Source organism: Homo sapiens, chromosome 11, assembly GCF_000001405.40.
Source record: "Homo sapiens chromosome 11, GRCh38.p14 Primary Assembly".
Classification (NCBI taxonomy): domain Eukaryota; kingdom Metazoa; phylum Chordata; class Mammalia; order Primates; family Hominidae; genus Homo; species Homo sapiens.
The window spans coordinates 134,062,188-134,081,931 of record NC_000011.10 but is presented as its reverse complement, the minus strand read 5'-3'; the positions used below and the strand labels follow the sequence as shown (position 1 = coordinate 134,081,931).

General features: G+C 44.3%; 1 protein-coding gene across 2 annotated transcripts in view, besides 1 other annotated feature; it reads right to left on the bottom strand.

Annotated features, from left to right (window-relative positions):
• JAM3 (junctional adhesion molecule 3) overlaps positions 1–12,860 on the bottom strand; it is an 82,930-nt gene extending 70,070 nt beyond the window's left edge. For both annotated transcript variants that reach the window (NM_032801.5, NM_001205329.2), the window contains exon 1: positions 12,773–12,860. In NM_032801.5, coding sequence (NP_116190.3) covers positions 12,773–12,848 — 76 coding nt within the window. In that variant the 5' untranslated portion in view covers positions 12,849–12,860. The remainder of the gene's footprint in view (positions 1–12,772) is intronic.
• Positions 12,866–13,055: a silencer, noted in NCBI's record as "silent region_4092". NCBI's record gives its function as "represses an Ori minimal core promoter by ATAC-STARR-seq in GM12878 lymphoblastoid cells {active_cell/tissue: GM12878}" and the evidence as "EXISTENCE:reporter gene assay evidence [ECO:0000049][PMID:35858748]".

Sequence of the window (19,744 nt, the reverse complement as noted above, 5' to 3'; positions counted from 1 at the left end):
GGTTCCCATGGTCTTGGGCAGCTACCCACCTGTGGTTTTTGCAGGATACAGCCTTGCTCCCCGCTGCTCTCACGGGCTGGTGTTCAGTGTCTGTGGCTTTTCCAGGTGCACAGTGCAAGCTGTCAGTGGATCTATCATTCTGGGGTCTGGAGGATGGTGGCCCTCTTCTCACAGCTCCACTAGGCAGTACCCCAGTAGGGACTCTGTGTAGGGGATCTGACCCCACATTTCCCTTCTGCACTGCCCTAGCAGATGATCTCTATGAGAGCCCCACCCCTGCAGCAAACTTCTGCCTGGACATCCAGGCATTTTCATACATCCTCTGAAATCTAGGTGAAGGTTCCCAAACCTCAATTCTTGACCTTCTGTGCACTCGCAGGCTCAACACCACGTGGAAGCTGCAAGGCTTGGGGCTTGCACCCTCTGAAGCCATGGCCTCAGCTCTATGCTGGCCCCTTTCAGCCATGGCTAGAGTGGCTGGAAGGCAGGGCACCAAGTCTATAGGCAGCATACAGCACAGGGACCCTGGGCCCGGCCCATGAAACCACTTTTTCCTCCTAGGCCTCCAGGCCTGTGATGGGAGGGGTGGCTGTGAAGACCTCTGACATGCCCTGAAGACATTTTCCCCATTGTCTTGGGGATTAACATTTGGCTCCTTGTTACTTATGCAAATTTCTGCAGCCAGCTTGAATTTCTCTTCGGAAAACAAGATTTTCTTTAATATCACATTGTCCAGCTGCAAATTTTCTGAACTTTTATGCTCTGCTTCTCTTATAAAACTGAATGCCTTTAACAGCACCCAAGTCAACTCTTGAATGTTTTCCTGCTTAGAAATTTCTTCCGCTAGATACCCTAAATCACCTCTCTCAAGTTCAAAGTTGCACAAATCTCTAGGGCAGGGGCAAAATGCCACCAGACTCTTAGCTAAAATATACCAAGAGTCACCTTTACTCCAGTTCCCAACAAGTTCCTAATCTCCATCTGAGACCACCCCAGCCTGGACTTCATTATCCATATCAATATCAGCATTTTGGTAAAAACCATTCAACAAGTCTCTACCGAGTTCCAAACTTTCCCACATTTTCTTGTCTTCTTCTGAGCCCTCCAAACTGTTCCAACCTCTGCCTATTACCCAGTTCCAAAGTCTCTTCCACATTTTCAGGTATTTTCAGTAGCGCCCCACTCTACTGGTACCAGTTTACTCTTTTAATCTATTTTCATGCTGCTGATAAAGACATACCCGAGACTGGGCAATTTACAAAAGAAAGAGGTTTATTAGACTTAAACAGTTCCACGTGGTTGGGGAGGCCTCACAATCACGGCAGAAGGTAAAAGGCATGTCTCATATGGCGACAGACAAGAGAAGAGAGCTTGTGCAGGAAAACTCCCCTTTTTAAACCGATCAGATCTCAAGAGACTTACTAACGATCACAAGAACAGCATGGGAAAGACCCACCCCATGATTCAATTATCTCCCACTGGGTCCCTCCCACAACATGAGGAAATTATGGGAGCTACAAGATTTGGGTGGGGACACAGAGCCAAACCATATCATGCATAAAAGCACTTTTTGGAGGAGTCCATAGATTTCATCTTTTCCTATGAAGTAGTCAAAACCTAAGCTATTTCACTGACGTTACCCCAAGGTCTAAAACAGTGTCTGGCAAATAAAAGATTGAGAATTTTTCTTTACTCAGCTACTGCTTTAGTGATTCACAGCAAAGGTTCTAAGCTCATTCTTTATCACCAGTGGACTTATCAGCTAGACCAAGTATGGTCAGAGTGAAAACTTCATATCTGATGCTTAGAAATCAGATTGAATTAAAAATAACAACCCAACCAATTGGTTATTCATTTTTTCTTCATGGTAAACAAACACAGGAATTCTTAAAACACTAGATCTAGTAAGTAAAGCTGTAGATTTAAAAAACAAAAAAAAGAACAAAACAAAACAAACAAACAAAAACGAGGGTTCTGAATAAATTTTTCCAACCTCTCTCGATAGAGGAAGGCTTCAAACCAAGTTTACCTGGCTACAAAACACACCTAAATTTTCAGAAGAGGAAGATATTTCTGTTGACTACATTTTCAAAACCTTCAAATGCAATTATAATTAACAAATATGAACTAATTCAATTAATCAGTTACAAATTATATGCCTACAAAGTCACTCCTTTGGATCTAAAACTCATATATCTAAGGTGGGTTATATAATAAGAAAGGGAAAGAAATGTGGATGTTTTGGTGGTAGTGTGAGAGAGGTGGGGTTTAAATTACTTTCAAGTGATTTGGATTACAACCAATATTATTTCCCCAAGGTCTAAAAAATGAATCACATGCAAAGCTAGGAAATGAATCCAAAATGCCTAACACCCACGATACAGTGCTTTTTTTTTTCACCCAGAAAACTATCTGAAAGGCTGCAAACAACGGAGCCTTCCAGAGATGCAGTGGGTGGTTTTTGTCCACACATTACATCAGACGGCACCTTTCAGTAAACCAGCACTTCATCCTGTGGAGAACGGAATCCAGATTTCAGCTGGAAAGCTCGGTAAAGTTACCTTTGTATTTTGTCCCTGAATGTCTTCATCTATAGCTGTTACTAGTAGACTAAGTAGGTGCTGTTTCAGGTGGCTGTCTAGTGTGGAATAGCTATAATTCTCCAAAGTTTAAGTTAATGATAGATGTTTGCTTTTCAGACAAACTAATTCAAGGACAGAGATTATAGTTGTAGGGTTTGGTATATTTTTTAAATAACAGAGCGCCATCCTTAAAGCAGTGATTCTTAGGGAGAGGCATACAACCCCAACCCTCAAGAATATCAGAACTTCCTGGGGGTGTATGCGATGAAAAAAAAAGCAAATATTTAAGTTCATAATTCTGTTTTGTTTTGTAACAGAGTTTCGCTCTTACTGCCCAGGCTGGAGTACAATGGCGTGATCTTGGCTCACCACAACCTCCACCTCCCAGGTTCAAGCAATTCTCCTGCCTCAGCCTCCCAAGCAGCTGGGATTACAGGCGCATGTCACCATACCAGGCTAATTTTTTTATTTTTAGTAGAGACAGGGTTTCTCCATGTTGGTCAGGCTGGTCTCGAACTCCCGACCTCAGGTGATCCACCTGCCTTGGCCTCCCAAAGTGCTGGGATTACAGGCGTGAGCCACTGTGCTCGGCCCATAATTTTGTATTTAAAAAAGGAAAACAAAAACATTACCCTAATAACAAGAACACTTAAAGAAGGGTGTGTGACTCTTCCATTAAGAGAGGGGAAACAGGTGAAGTAAAGCTCCAATTCCTGTTTTCACAAGTGTAGCTGATTAGATGCCCTGGAGGGCCCTTCTGCTCCAACAACGAGATCTCACATAAGTCATAGTTTTTATTCCATGTCTCACAAGGAAGTCGGGGAAATCTTTAAAAGGACAAACCAATATAGCTGTAGGCTAAAACCAGAGAGCAGAAAGATGGGTAGGAGTGTTAAACTGAGAGCAAAGGGTCATTTTAACACTTCAGTGGGCCAGGTGCGGTGGCTCACACCTGTAATCCCAGCATTTTGGGAGATCAAGGCAGGTGGATCACCTGAGGTCAGGAGTTTGAGACTAGCCTGGCCAACATGGCGATACCCCGTCTCTACTAAAAATACAAAAATTAGCCGGGTGTGGTGGCACATGCCTGTAATCCCAGCTACTCAGGAGGCTGAGGCGGGAGAATCGCTTGAACTTGGAAGGTGGTGGTTGCAGTGGGCCGAGATCATGCCACTGCCCTCCAGCCTGGGCAACAGAGCGAGACTCCAGCTTAAAAACAAACAAATAAAAAAACACTCCAGTGGGGACACTGAGCCCTTGGACCAGCAGAAAGGTAGGCAAGAGGAAAGCAGAGCCTGAGATTTTTAAGTAATGCCAGGGATCCTGAAACAGCTAGTCACCCCAGAGACAGGCACTGTCACTCAGTGGAAGGCTGCACTCTCAAGAAAAAGCATCCTTGGCCGGGCGCGGTGCCTCACGCCTGTAATCTCAGCACTTTGGGAAGCCGAGGCGGGCGGATCACCTGTGGTCAGGAGTTCAAGACCAGCCTGGCCAACATGGTGAAACACTGTCTCTACTAAAAATACAAAAATTAGCCAGGCGTGGCATGGTGGCGGGCACCTGTAATCCCAGCTACTCAGGAGGCTGAGGCAGGAGAATCACTTGAGGTTGCAGTGATTTCCGAGCCGAGATTTCCACTGCATTCCAGCATGGGCGAAAGAGCAAAACTCCGTTTCAAAAAAAAAAAAAAAAAAAAAAAGGCGCCAGCCACGGTGGCTTGCACTTTAGGAGGCTGAGGCGAGTGGATCACCTGAGGTCCAGAGTTCGAGACCAGCTTGGCCAACATGGAGAAACCCTGTCTCTACTAAAAATACAAAAATTAGCTAGGCATGGTGGCAGGATCCTGTAACCCCAGCTACTCGGGAGGCTGAAGCAGGAGAATCACTTGAACCCAGGAGGCGGAGGTTGCAGTGAGCCGAGATCACGCCATTGCACTCCAGCCTGGGCAACAAAAGCGAAACTCTGTCTCAAGAAAAAAAAAAAAAAGGCATCCTTGACACACTAATATCCAGAATCTATAAGGAACTTAAGAAAAAAATAATCCCATTAAAAAGTGGGCAAGACATAAACAGATACTTCTCAAAAGACATGTATGTGGCCAACACACATACAAAAAAATGCTCAACATCGCTCATCATCAGAGAGATGCAAATCCAAACCACAACGAAATGCCATCTCACACCAGTCAGAATGGCTATTAAATAATCAAAAAACAGGCCGGGTGCAGTGCCTCATGCATGTAATCCCAGCACTTTAGGAGGCCAAGGTGGGCAGATCACCTAAGGTCAGGAGTTCGAGACCAGCCTGGCCAACATGGCAAAACCCTGTCTCTACTAAAAATACAAAAATTAGTCAGGCATGATGGCAGGAGCCTGTAATCCCAGTTACTTGGGAGGCTGAGGTAGAAGAATCGCTTGAACCCAAGAGGCAGAGGTTGCAGTGAGCCGAGATCGCACCACTGCACTCCAGCCTGGAAACAGAGCAAGACTCCATCTCAAAAAAAAAAAAAAAAAAAAGCAATAGATGTTAGTGAGATTGCAAAGAAAGCTATTTGGGAGGCTGAGGTCGAAGGACCACCTGAGACCAGGAGTTCAGTGTGGGCAATATAGTGAGACCTCGTCTCTAAAAAAATTAAATAAAATAAAAAATACTTCCCCCAGTGTGGTGGTGCACACCAATAGAAAAAAGAGAAAGTATCCTTAGGTTAGGCCTAGATTTTCACAGATTAATATCAATCAAATATCCATTTATAATACAAGCAAAGAAACCACCATATGTACAAGTCATAAGAAATAACAACAGATTTAGATCTCTAAGAACTTCAGATATTTGAAATATCACATATGGAATACAAAACAGCTGTGCACACAATGTTTTAAAAATTTGAAAAGGAGTAAGCCAGGTGCGGTGGCTCACACCTGTGATCCAGCACTTTGGGAGGCCGAGGCAGGCGGATCACCTGAGGTCGGGAATTCGAGACCAGCCTGATCAACATGGAGAAACCCCATCTCTACTAAAAATACAAAAATTAGCCAGGCGTGGTGGCGGCCGCCTGTAATCCCAGCTACTCCAGAGGCTGAGGCAGGAGAATTGCTTGACCCCGGGAGGTGGCAGTTGCGGTGAGCCGAGATTGCACCATTGTACTCCAGCCTGGGCAACAACAGCAAAACTCCATCTCAAAAAAAAAAAAAAAAAAAAGAAAGAAAAGAAAAGAAAAGGAGTAAAAAAATTAAGCAAGCAAAAAACAACTTGATTATAAAAAGAACCAAGAAAATTTTAGAAATGAATAATATAATTGGTGGAAAAACTGTGTATTGATTGGTTATCAATAATAAGTTAGATACAGCTGGAAGCAGAAAAAGTTAGCTGTAAAACAAAAATGAATAAAGAACCCAGAATAGCACAGAGAGACAAGAACATGAAAAAATGACAAAGGAGGTTAACAGTATTGAAGGACAGAATGACTAAACATGTTTAATTGCAGTCACAGAAAGAAAAAGTTAAGCAGGTACAAGCTAGGTGATATTTGAATGGATAAGAACTGAGAATTCTCAAGAAAGAAAGAAACTCACAGGTATACAAACCACAACATATAACAAGTAGAATAACTGAAAAGAAATTCAGGGAGGGCATGGTGGTGTATGCCCATAATCTCAGCACTTTGGGAGGCTAAGGCAGTAGGATCCCTTAAACTCAGGAGTTCAAGATCAGACTGGGGAACATAGTAAGACCTTGTTTCTACAAAAAAATGTTCAAAAAATTACCCAGGTGAGGCTCCAGAGCCCGTGAAACAAATGTCTTATTTATGCCACCCTGTTTGTGGTATTCTGTCATAGAAGCCCAAGCTCACTAAGACCCCAGATAGAGCAATAAGCACAATGCTTATCACATAGTTTTCAGTAATTGGCAGGTGTTATTAATCATTATAACTCACTCATCCCAAAACAAAACATGTGCATTCCCAAGTCCATGCCTTTGCCCACATTATTTCCTCCACTTTCCCATCCACACCGCTGTCCCTCCCAAATCTATACTTAAGTCAGTCAATTATCTGTACAAGTCCAGCTCCTTTTTGAAATTCTCCTCTACCAGGTCAGCCCAGAGAGAGTAAGTGCTCTCACTTCTAAACCCACAGAATATTTACCCAAATGCTGCTCTGTTATTTGACTAAACTATATGTTCCCTCTGGTAAAGGGAAGACATTATCTTAAGTTCTCCTGCTTTGCCCATGGAATGCTTTACTGCCATGAAAATGGAGACTACCAAATAAATATGGATTGGCTGATTAAGTTTCAGTACCCTGACAGAGATGCTTTAAAGGAAAAACATGCCCCACCCCTGCCAAAAAAAAAAAAAAAAAAAGCAGCTGTCTTTGGATTTGTTGCATTGTCTCTAAGCTTCCAGGCAGCTGCACTTCATTCTAAAGACATTAAATATTTTCCTTAGAGAAAGACATCCAACAGGGAAGTCCATGTTGGGCAGGAAGAAGTGATGGGGCACATCAGCTGACAGAGTGCTTCGGGAAACATCTTTCAGAGTCTAGTTTCAACAGAAGTCAATTTCACCCTGTATTTTTATCACTCAAGAGGAAGAAAACAGAGATCTTCCAGGGGCTGCCACAGAGTAGGTGCTCAATAAATTTTGGCTCGCTTTGAACAGGTGAACAAAGGCCATTACTCAGATCGTTTTGTCAGTGTGTTCAAAAAGAAGGGGGGAGGCCGGTAATCTCGGCAGCTCTCAGTTTTCCAGCTAACCATTTGCTGAGGACACCACAGCTGACTCCCCCACCCAAAAGTCAGTGGCAACTAATCTCTCAAATGAGTCACAAACAATACATTATCAAGCAACTGAACTTCCAGTCAGCCACTCCTTCATCCAATGTGGCTGATATTAAGAAGCTAGAAAAAGGCACAATCCACATGCTATCACATTAAACAAACAAATTATATTTTCCCATTACTAGTGCCAAATTTAAAATTCCACTATTGTATCTACTGGAAGCCAAACCAAGATGCAACTTTTTTCATTACACAAAAAATATCCTCATCAAAGAACATTTGGAAAACAGACAAAGGAATACAAGAATCAACCAGGAAAACAAAAACAAAGAAAAGCAGAAAACAATTTGCTGTAACACTTCCACTCATAAACAGCCCCTATCAACAGTCTGGTTCATTCTCATCCTGTTTTTTCCCCTAAGCATAGATGTTTTGTGTAATCGTAATCATACAGTATATACTAGTATACCTGCAGCTTGTGTCACTTAAATGATATCATAAGCATTTCTCCATCTTTTTCTCCTTCTTAACCTTGTAACTGCACAAAAGCAGATGGCAGAAAGATTCTGAAATTAAACCAAGTCAATAAATTATTACCATTCTCTTTCTTCCAGAATAACTACTGTAGTACAAACTGACACTTTTCCAGAAGTTCCTAGGGCCACTAGAAATAAGACATTTTTTTAAAAATGCCTCGACACAAAGAGAGTGTTTAAGAAATGTTAACTCACTTTCAAGTGACAAAGTGAGATAAACTGAATATTTACTAGAATCACCTCTGGAAAGATACAAAAAAATTAAATTCAGCCTCTGTTACCAACAAAATGTTTATTATCATTGAGAAAATACAATGCACTGACACCTAACAACTAAAGCCCAATGTAAATCGGAGTCAATTACCCTGGCTCTTTAAGGACTGGCGATGTTTTACCCATTTTGCAACCCTAGCACACAGAACAGTGCCTGACACGTCATAGATACTCAATAAATGGGTGTTGTACTAAACTGAACTAGAGACTATGATCTAAGCTTATTTAGAGATAGGAAGGATCACTGTGGGCTGAGGTTGTCAAACATAGCAGATAGCATGACTATGGCAGAATTTGATTTTGGCAATAATTTTCAGGAAGAAGGCTGAACCATAGAAACCTTGGGAAACTGCAAATGAAAGATAATGTAAGAAAAAATGTTCATATAGTCCTAACTCTATTAAATAGTTTGATGTCTTTATACAAGCAGCACTGAAACCTCTGCTGTATGTATTAACTACTCATGGGAAATGTAATATATAACACATAACAAATACTACTTAAAACCAAAAGAAACACACCAACACAAAACACTACAGCATTCCTGGGACATCAGAAACAAGGGCTAACTCTCAGGAAGCTTTCTGTGTGCCATGCCAAGAAGCAGAGAGACAGTCAATTAAGGCTTTAGCTCTCCATATAGAGTACCACAGTGGATACTGTCCTTGCTAAACTAGGTGTAAAAGAATGTGCTTACCAAAACTTTCTTTCGGGATCGCTTTACACTCCAGTGAAGCTATTTGCATATACTGCTAGAATTCTGAGAGTACATGCAAAGATCTGAAATTTGCATTCAACTTTGACAGCATAACATTCACACCACCTGACTATAAACATCTTTTTTTTTCCCCCAAGACGGAGTTTCACTCTTGTACCCCAGGCAAGAGTGCAGTGGCGCAATCTCAGCTCACTGCAACCTCCACCTCCCGGGTTCAAGCGATTCTCCTGCCTCAGCCTCCAGAGTAGCTGGGACTACAGGCAAGCACCAGCACGCCCGGCTAATTTTTGTATTTTTAGTAGAGACAGGGCTTCATCATGTTGGCCAAGATGTTCTTGATCTCCTGATCTTGTGATCCGCCCACCTCGGCTTCCCAAAGTGCTGGCGTGAGCCACTGTACCCGGCCAACTATAAACATATCTTAAAAGAGAATCCAGCTGGGCGTGGTGGCTCACGCCTGTAATCTCAGCACTTTGGTAGGCCAAGGCGGGCAGGTCACTTGAGGTCAGGAGTTCAAGACCAGCCTGGCCAACATGGTGAAACCCCATGTCTACTAAAAACAATAAAAAAATTAGTCAGGCAAGGTGGCACGCATCTGTAATCTCAGCTACTCGGGAGGCTGAGGCAGGAGAATGGCTTTAACCTGGGAGGCGGAGTTTTGCAGTGAGTTTTGCAGTGAGCTGAGCTCATGCCACTGCATCAGAAACTCAGTCTCAAAAAAAAAAAAAAATCCAACTTCACCACTAGGGTATTCTTCAGCAGACTCCATACATCCTAACTTCATTCACACATATTTTCCTTTCTTTTACTACATTTGTGCTTTTAAAAAATTCAAAGAATTTATGGAGAAGGAATTTGCTAATACCACATCTCTAACAGCTGCTAGTCGAATGTACTAAATCCATAGCTGCGTCTGTTACATTATGTGGCCATCTTATACTTGAGGAAAGTCTGGTTGCTTTCAAAAGAACTGATTTAAACCCACCCCATGGAGTTTAAGAACAAGTTCCATGGAGCTTAGGGGTTGTGTGGATAATTCTGCCTGAATGTAATACTGCAATTACTTATGATTAAGTATCTCTAGTACTTATCCATTCAGTCTCCTTAGCCTGAAGCACTGAAGAACAAATGCCCATCAACAAGTCATGTGGGAATGAGCAGCTGATATAAAGTACTGCATGCTTTCAAGACAGGTGTTCTTTGTTTTTTTTAAAACATACACACAAGTCTGACAATGATTATATCTGCCAGATAATTAAGAATTAGAACATAAAAGAATATGCCATTCTAAAAAACGTTACTGGAGTCCAAACAGATGCAAATAAAAGAATTAAACATTTTTTCAAAAATTTCCCAGAAATTTTGATTTTCAGATTTTGATATGCTTCAGCACACAAGTTGTCTTATCTGAAGAATGAAAACTGTTGCTGTTTTAATTCTAAATAAGGCACTTCTCTCTAGAATATCAAAGATTTGGAAACCTAACACTAATGAGTACACAATCATTCAAAAAAGCCATGTGGCATAACATTTGTAAAGCTGAACTGCACCTGTCATGAGTCAACAAAAGAATATTTTATATACAAACCACATAGTGTTGAAAACTTGATAATCTGTTTAAACTGATCCATTAAAAGAACTCCACCGTCAAATGGAATAATACAAATAACTAAAAATTGGATTAACACAAATAATGAAGGATTTCCCATTTAAAACGCACAGGATAACACTCCCGACAAGGGTCTGAATCTCTCCATACTTCTGTTCCCTCATCCACAAAAGGGCACAACAATAGTAACGACTTCTTAGAGTTATCAAGATTAAATAAATTAGCAAACATTAAATTCTTGTAACAGAGCCTGGCAAAGGGTAACCACAAAAGAAATGTTTGCTGTTATATCAAGAACCAAAATTTTTAAGATGAAAATAAATAGTAATAGCAATTGAGAATAATCATAAAAAATAAAAAGGACACAGTAGTCATGACTTCTGGAAGAACAGTTTTAGGGTAGCTTAAAGCATAAACCAAATAATGGAAAAAGAGCCCCTACTAAAAAAAAGATAGCTACACGCCTTCAAAGTGGATTCATACATCCTACTACCTCGATTATTTGTCATTAGAACTAGTTTGCAAAATTTGATTCTTCCTCCTACGCTCTGCATGTGAATCCCAGCCCCTACCAGCAAAAAAGCCACAAAACTAGTCCCTTAGGGGAAGGAAATCAGAGGTTAAGGGTAAGTGAAGCTCTTTGCATTTTCTAGTTTTATTAACAAACTACCAAGTTGAAATTCATTCCTGAGCTAAACTGCCAAATGCTTCTGCAACAAAAACTGCAAACTTTCACGTGAACAGATCTTTTCAACAATAGAGAGTTGTTCCAGGCTGTGAATAGGACAGTGTCAGTGTGACCAACACAGCGGGTGCTGGACATTCCTGACACCCTTGTCCCCTGGCTAGCCTTTGATCACTTATCTCCCAACAGCATTTGGTTTTGGGAATCACTTTCAGGCAAAGTATACAGACTTTGCCTTAGCGTACATAATCTATACGCTAAAACTCATCTTTTGTCACAGCCCATCACGAGCATCCCATTAGCATAAAGCACCAAACACAGGAATGCTTTGTTTTCCAAAATCTGTCCACCTTCACTCCTAAACAGTCCCTCCGTGTTTTAATTTGTATATTCTGGAAAACATCATGGGATGACAGTGGCAATTCAAACAATAAAATAATCTAAGAACCGAAAAAGGTCCTGGTCTGGTTACCTGCGGATGGCTGCCAGGGGAAGAGTGTGGTGTCCTGCTTTAGGTAAATATGAAGTTGAGGCTTCACTACTTAGAATGCAGCCTTGGAAAGCAGACTAGACTTGACTCTGAAAATGGATTAATGAAACCTATCTCACAGAGCTGCTGAAAGGAGTAAACGAGATAATGGCTCCAAAGTGCCTAGTAGACAGTACAAGCTCACTAAAGGAAAGCTATTTTAGTCCTCTGTACAACTGTCCAGGAAAATGTGGATCTAATGAGAATTCCAAACAGAGGGAAAGAAAATGCACAAAACTATCAAGTTTATTAGTGTGTCTTGATCAAATGCCCCGAATGCTATTTCCGGATAAGAGTCTGCGTGGTCTCCTCGGCCAGGCCAGAGACAAAAAAGGTACTGGATTGATATCCATTTTATTTCTGTAAAAGAAAAGCAGTTCCTTTGTGTCGAGTCAAATGAACTGCAGATCCCCAGAGGGCTGTGACCAAGCAGCCCGCCAGGCCTCGGAGCTCTGCCTCGCCGGTCCTCAGCTACGTCCCCCGCTCACCGTCCCTTCTGGAGAGCACAGCACTGCTGCGCAGGGTCTTCCAGCAAGTTCCAGCGCCCACGCCGCAGCTGCCGCGCTCCCTCCAGAGGGCCGTGCCCACCGCCCGGGAGGGGTCCACCCCGGGGACGAGCCCACCGCCCAGCACAGGACCCCGCCTGGGAGGAGCCCACCCGGGGGATGAGCCCACCGCCCAGCACAGGACCCCGCCTGGGAGGAGCCCACCCGGGGGATGAGCCCACCGCCCAGCACAGGACCCCGCCCGAGAAGAGCCCGCCCCCGGGGTCCGACGGCTGTCCGGGACCGACTCACTGCCTGGGACGGGCCCCCCATCCCAAATTAGCTCCCCGCCCCGGTCCAACTGCCGGGCGTCCCAGGGCCCCCGCCCTAGCCAGGCCCGAGTCCCAGCCCTGGCTGCGGGGACGCGGGCGCGCGCCGCCCCTCCGGCCCGGGACCCCGGGAGCCCTCGGAGCCAGGACCGCTATCCTCGCCCGGACCGGCTCCAGCAGCTTCGGCCCGCTCTGCTTCCGTCGCCCCCAGACCCTAGTCTCCCAACAGCGGAAACGCGCAAACTCACCCCTGAAAAGCAGCAGCAGGAAGAAGTCAGGCAGCCGAGCGCAGAGCCGGAGTCGCGGTGGCCGCCTCAGCGCCATGTCGAGGGTTGCTGAGGGGCCAGCGGCAGCGCGGCGCGGCTTGTAGTCCCCGCGCGCATGCGCCCAGCCTGCCAGGACCCTGCGACCCGCCCCAGTTACCATGGCGACCGCCGGGCCCAGCCGAGCCGGCACCATGGTGACAGAGGAAGCTGAGGTCTAGCTGCTTACGGATGCAGCGATGCTCTGGACCGGCACATGGGTTCTCTTTCAATGAACTTGGCGGGAGGAGAGTAAAGAAGTATGTACAAGAGTGAAGCAGGGTATATTTCCATAGCTATAGAATAAATCCATCACAACAGGTCGGAGAAGGAACACTCCTTTAAAATTTGGGAAATAAAGTATTTCTTATTTTACAAATAAGGATGCAGCCCAGTTATCTTGGAAGCATTATCGCCTTCACATCTTTTGGGCCCCCAATTCCAAATTGATGGAAGGAAAAGAGCTGAAATCTGCTTAAAACATAAGCAATACATACATTATACAGCATATAAAAGTGATGTCTTGCTAAAATAATTTGTTTATGTGGTAGATCAAAAGCATGATGGCATACCCAATAGTTTATTCTGCAGAAAAGCAGACTAATTATTTGCTCTGATTTCTGAATACTGGGAGATAGTAAAACCAGGGAAGAACAGGTAAGATGAGGACAAACAGGAAAAATGAAGAGAAGGATAAATTAAAGCAGAAATTAGATCTAAAAAAGCAAGAGTATTTAAAGTCTCACTTAATACTATGGAAAATACTTGAAAAGCTTGTATTTTAGCAAGTATAGAAAGTACACCTCCAATGTTCCCAGAAACAGCAGTCTAGCAACAGAATTCTGAATATAATTGTTAGTAAAATAAGCCAGTTTCCAACTAATATTTTTAATGTTTAACTTTTTCATATACTCATGCTACTTTTTTAGTATTTTTAGTTTTCATGCAAAATAGAAGTATATTTACATATTATGTATACCAAATTTATATATGTAAAAGCCGGGAAACGTGAAATAGATTGAGATTGTTGCCAAGAATATGCTTCAGTTTCCATCACTGTATAATCTTCTTTGTAAATCTTTATAACTGCTCAGATCTTTATGTTAATTGATTACCTTCTCAAAAATCTTATAAAGACAGAATAAAAATTAAAAAATAACTCAATTACCTACTATGATTCTGTCTTTCCTTTCATAAATCTTCTTTATGTTCCAGGTCACCATGCACTAAATCACAAGTAAAAGTGTGTAAAAGTTGTTTTATAATGGTGGCCTCTTTCCCTTTATCAAGCACAAAATCGAGAAATTAAAAAGAAGAAAATTCGTCTTATGCCCACTGACATTTTTTTCTGCCCTCTGTTTTCCCTATTATTCCCTTTAGCTCCTGGTCACATGGCCAGGCATATTTACCTAACTGAAGGAACTGTTTGGGTTACTTGGAAATGTGAGATGGTGTCTGACTGTGGACAGAGCACGGTTTTCAAAAACCAGTGCCTCTTTTCTCCTGCGGAATTTTCAGTGTTTGCGTTGTAAAATGGTCTATCTGTTAAATGGTCTTCCTGCTAGGGAATCTTTTGAAACTCAGACCGAGATTACAAAAAAGGGCTGCATGAATATTCTATAAGGGGCAGAGGTTCCTAGGAGAGTGGATGGCAGGTGCTTCATTGTAAGACATTGATTTTCCTCTGCAGATGGAGTCGGCATGTCATTACCAACAGCTGAGACAGTTCCTGGAATGGAAGTCTAACTAGGGATGCAGCAGAGTGGGGTAGGACACACGTGGCTGTGAAGTGGTCTGCTCTTCCTTAGGGTTTCATTGTTCCCTGGAGAGCTCTGACCCTGTGCAGAAGGGAATCAGAGCTCAATAAGGCCAGCAGCAAAGTCCTGGAAGCATTCCGTGAGCAGGGCTGAGGAGGCTCTGCCTCCATCACAGCATTACTCATCTGAATATGCTTATTTCTAAGGTGTGGCTTACTAGGGAGACATGCACTTCTTAAAAGAGCTCGGGGAACTGAATGTAAACCAACAATAAAATGCTAAGCCCTGGCCAGGCGTGGTGGCTCACGCCTATAATCTCAGCACTTTGGCAGACCAAGGAGGGAAGACCATGAGGTCAGGAGTTTGAGACCAGCCTGACCAACATGGTGAAACCCTGTCTCTACTAAAAATACAAAAATTTGCCAGGCATGGTGGCAGGCGCCTGTAATCCCAGCTACTCGGGAGGCTGAGGCAGGAGAATCACTTGAACCCGGGAGGTGGAAGTTGCAGTGAGCCAAGATTGCGCCACTGCACTTCAGCCTGGGTGACAGAGTGAGACTCTGTCTCAAAAAAAAAAAAAAGCTAAGCCCCTCAACAATCTGAAATGACCCCTCCTCTCAGCCAAAGGCACTGCAAAGTTAACCTGAAAAACTAGTTTAAGCCATGATCGGGGAGTTGGATATGCCTTATTATACCCTCCACCCTTTTGGAATTCAGGCCAACTGACCAGCATCAACATTAAAACAGATCTTAAGACTGATAGGGCCAGGTGCGGTGGTTCAGGCCTGTAATCCAGGCCCTTTAGGAGGCCAAGGTGGGCGAATCACCTGAGTTCAGGAGTTTGAGACCAGCCTGGCCAACATGGTGAAACCCTGTCTCTACTAAAAATACAAAAAATTAACCAGGCATCATGATGCATGCCTGTAGTTCCAACTACTTGGGAGACTGAGGCAGGAGAATCGCTGGAACCCAGAAGGCGGAGGTTGCAGTGAGCTGAGATCGTGCCACTGCACTCCACCTGGGCAACACAATGAGACTCCGTCTAAAAACAAACAAACAAAAAAGACTGATACAACAGACTCTCTCTCTCTCTCTGAAGCCTGTTACCTGGAGGCTTCATCTGCATGATAAAAACTTGGTCTCCACAACCGTTATTCTAACACAGACGTTCCTTTCTTGCTTGCTTTTTTTTTGTTTTGTTTTTTGTTTTTGTTTGTTTGTTTGTTTGACAGGGTCTTACCCTGTCACTCAGGCTGGAGTGCAGTGGCACACAATCGTGGCTCATGCTTGAGCCTCAACCTCCAGGCTCAAGCAATCCTCCCACCTCAGCCTCCTGAGCAGCTGGGACCACAGGTGTGCGCCACCATAGCTGGCTAATTTTTCTACTTTTTTTTTTGGTAGAGATGGGATCTCACCATGTTGCCCAAGCTGATCTTGAACTTCTGGGCTCAAGTAATTTGCCCGCCTCAACTTCCCAATGTGCTGGGATTACAGAAGCGAGCCACTGCCCCAGAGCCAGACCAGACCTTCCTTTCTATCAGAATAATCTTTGAATCTGCCTATGACCTGAAATCCCAACCCCACCCACTTATAGTTGTCCCACCTTTCTAGACAGAACCAATGTACACCTTACATGTATTGACCGATGCCTCATGTCTCAAAAAAAAGAAAAAAAGGAATGTGATCCATGACTTCTGTTCCTTTACTATGCTATTCTAGCCCTGAACAATCATCTGAAGTCAACCCGCATCGCATGAGAGAAGTGGGATCCTTTGACTAATGGAAGTCTCTGACCTCAGAGTCCTTCTTTAAAGCATTCTTCTTCAGGGCTTTTCAAAGACCTGGGTATGTTTCTGTTTCTCCATCTCTCCTCTCTTTAAGTCCCATCTTCCTCACAATATTTTCAACTATGTTATCCCACATTTTATCTCAACTCTTATCCCCTGCTTTTTCCTTCAAAGTATTTCTTTAATTTTATTTAAATAGGAAAACCTTCTCCCACCTCCCTCTAAGGAAACAGTAGCAGACAAAACTTCCATCTTCTCCAATAACATATGCCGCTTGTGGTCTGCAAAAGAAGAAAAGTTCTTCCGCAGTTCGATCTATTTGCACATTTCTCTCCTTTGCTGAAAAAGTTTATATACCAATGGCAGATTTTGGTCAAGTGGCTTCCTAGAGAGAGGCTTTCATAAGCAGCTATTTAATAAACCTTTTGCATTTCACCAAAAGAAGGCTAGGTGTTCGTGTGTGTGTGTGTGTGTGTGTGTGTGTGTGTGTCTTTCAGTAGAAATATCATACATGCCAGGAGTTAAAGAGAGTCACACCCTTATGCTAGGGCAGGAGTTAAAGTATCCTGGTGGTATCTCTATCAGCCAAGGGCTCTTTACTGGTGCACCTTAAAACACAACAGGACAACCAACAGTGGACAATAACACAAGGAAAGCCCTTGACACAGAATCGCTTCCCTAGGGCTGATGTTCCTGGGAATTTCTCACTTCAGGCCCCATGAAGAATATCACCCACTCTGCCTGTGTCAGGGTGTCTGCCTCAATTCTTTCTTTGAGGATGTGGAGAAGCAGGTGCCCCTGCAGACACCAAAGAAAAGGTGTCTGAGAAAAGATGTCTGAGATAGCCAGTAAACAGCAGTCCCCAGTCACCTTCCAGGAGGGATCCCTGTGATGACATAAAACAGACCAGCATTTTTTTACCCTCTTCACCTGACTTGTTGAATATTTGCCCTGGCCTGGGGAGAAGGTGAGAAGCTGTTTTCTGGACTGTGCCTCGGGGCTGAGGACACTGATGAGCCTCAGGGACAGGTATGCCGCCTTCACTGGCTTCCGGTGAGGTCCCGGAGCGCCCGCTGCTTGTGGGTTGGGGCTGAGACGATCTGGGTGGGGTGGCCCACAGGGTACCTGCAGCACTCTGGTGCTCCAGTTCTGTGCCTCCAGGATGCTCCAACTACTTTGTTTACAGATGGGAGATATTTTTATTCCAGCCCTCCAATTAGAGATAATTTTCTCTTCACACAAATTACACCATGGAGTGTTTACTTCCTGGCGGCACCAGTGAGAGACCTGGGCCTCCGCTCTTTTCCCTCCTCTGCTGCTGAGATCTTGCACTTTACACAGAGTCCCGGCCAGGGTCAACCCTCGGTTTCAGGGCTTTGGAATGGGGAAAGCTCTTCCAAAGAGCTCTGGGCCAGGCATTTGACAGAGCAATTTATGTGACTCAGAGCTTTCCAGGATGGGAAGGACACTTTTTAGTGGTGGCCACTGAAGAGGTTCTGGATATCCTGTTCCAGGACTGGAAATGGGGGGACATAATTTGATTTCCTAGGTTTCTAACGTGAAGAGGGTCATTCCACAGGAAACCTTTTCCCCAGAAATTATTCAAGACCATGCCCCTTGAGCAAGCAGATAAGAGCTCTGGATAAGACTATAGTTAAGGCCGGGCGTGGTGGCTCAGGCCTGTAATCCCAGCACTTTGGGAGGCCGAGGCGGGCGGATCACGAGGTCAGGAGATCCAGACCATCCTGGATAACACGGTGAAACCCCGTCTCTACTAAAAATACAAAAAATTAGCCGGGCGTGGTGGCAGGCGCCTGTCGTCCCAGCTACTCGGGAGGCTGAGGCAGGAGAATGGCGTGAACCCAGGAGGCAGAGCTTGCAGTGAGCCAAGATCACACCACTGCACTCCAGCTCGGGTGACAGAGCGAGATTCTGTCTCAAAAAAAGAAAAAAGACTCTATACTTTGTCTTTAATGCCATGAAATTATATTCCCATGAAATTTTGGATCAGGAGGAGTGGACGTATTTGGTCCTCTTGGGTGATTCTCAGAATCCTGAAAGCACTCAAGACACTCAGTGGAGACCTACTCCAGTGCGGATGGCCACACACCCCATGAAGGACAGAGAGCTTGAATCCCACATCTGCAAAGGGCACCTATGCTTCTGCAACCCTTACACTCAGAGGTCACACCTTAGTCCATTTATCTTCCAGGCAATATGTTGTTTTCCAGCCGGGCATTGTTCCCTAGGTTTGCACTGTCCCTGTGCCCCAGGCCTACCACCAGCTGCTGCCCAAGACAGAACACAGGAAGGAAACAGGAAACTCTGCTGAGCTTGGAGGTACAAGATTCTCCTTGTGCACTCCCCACAGGGAAGGAGTGGCCACCCCCACCACCACTGGCCCAATATCAGCTCCCTCATTTTTCATCTGGATTGTTAAAATGATCTGTAGGTATGTCTTCCTGTATCTAGATGTTTCTTTTCAAAACTGTGACTAGGGCCTAGAACAGTAAGAGGTGCTCAATAAGTATCTCTGGAATGAATGAATATAAGACTCCTGCGCCCTGCAGAGCTAACATCTGCTCACGTCGTGCTGCTTGAAATTCTTGGCACCTTCAGCATGTAGCTAACACCCCTTAGTACAGCAGGCCCCGACGTTTTCGGCACCAGGGCCCAGTTTTGTGGAAGACAAGCTTTCCACGGAAGGGTTGGGTGGGGCAGTGTTTCCGGATGAAGCTGTTTCACCTCAGATCATCAGGCTTTTTAGTTAGATGCTCATAAGGAGCGTGCAACTTAGATCCCTCATGTGCGCAGTTCGCAAAAGGGTTTGTGCTCCTATGAGACTAATGCAGACCTGGCAGGAGGCAGAGCTCAGGCAGTCATGCTCTCCTTCCCACCCCTCACCTCCCGCTGTGCGGCCCAGCTGGTAACAGCTACCTGTCCACGGCCTGGGGAGTGGGGACCCCTGCCTTAGTACGACTAAAGAAGTCATGGATGAAAAAACACACCCTATGTTCCTGAGCATCACAACTTCCGCATCTCATACCACCCCCTCATCTACTGCCTTGAATCTAGCTCCGCTGAGTCAGCTGTGGTTCTTAAAACTTGCCAGGTTCTTGCGAGCCACTGCAGTTGCCAACGCAGTCCTTGCTGCCTGTATTATCCTCCCCGTCAGCCTGGTGTCGCTGAAAAGACTCAAACTCGGTAAAACATTTGAAGAGATTTATCCCGAGCCAAATATAAGTTACCATTGGCCCATGATGCAGCCCGCAAGAGATCCTGAGAACAGGTGCCCAAGGTGGTCAGGCACAGCTTGCTTTTAGACATTTTAGGGAGACAGCAGACATCAATCAATACATGTAAGATGTCCATTG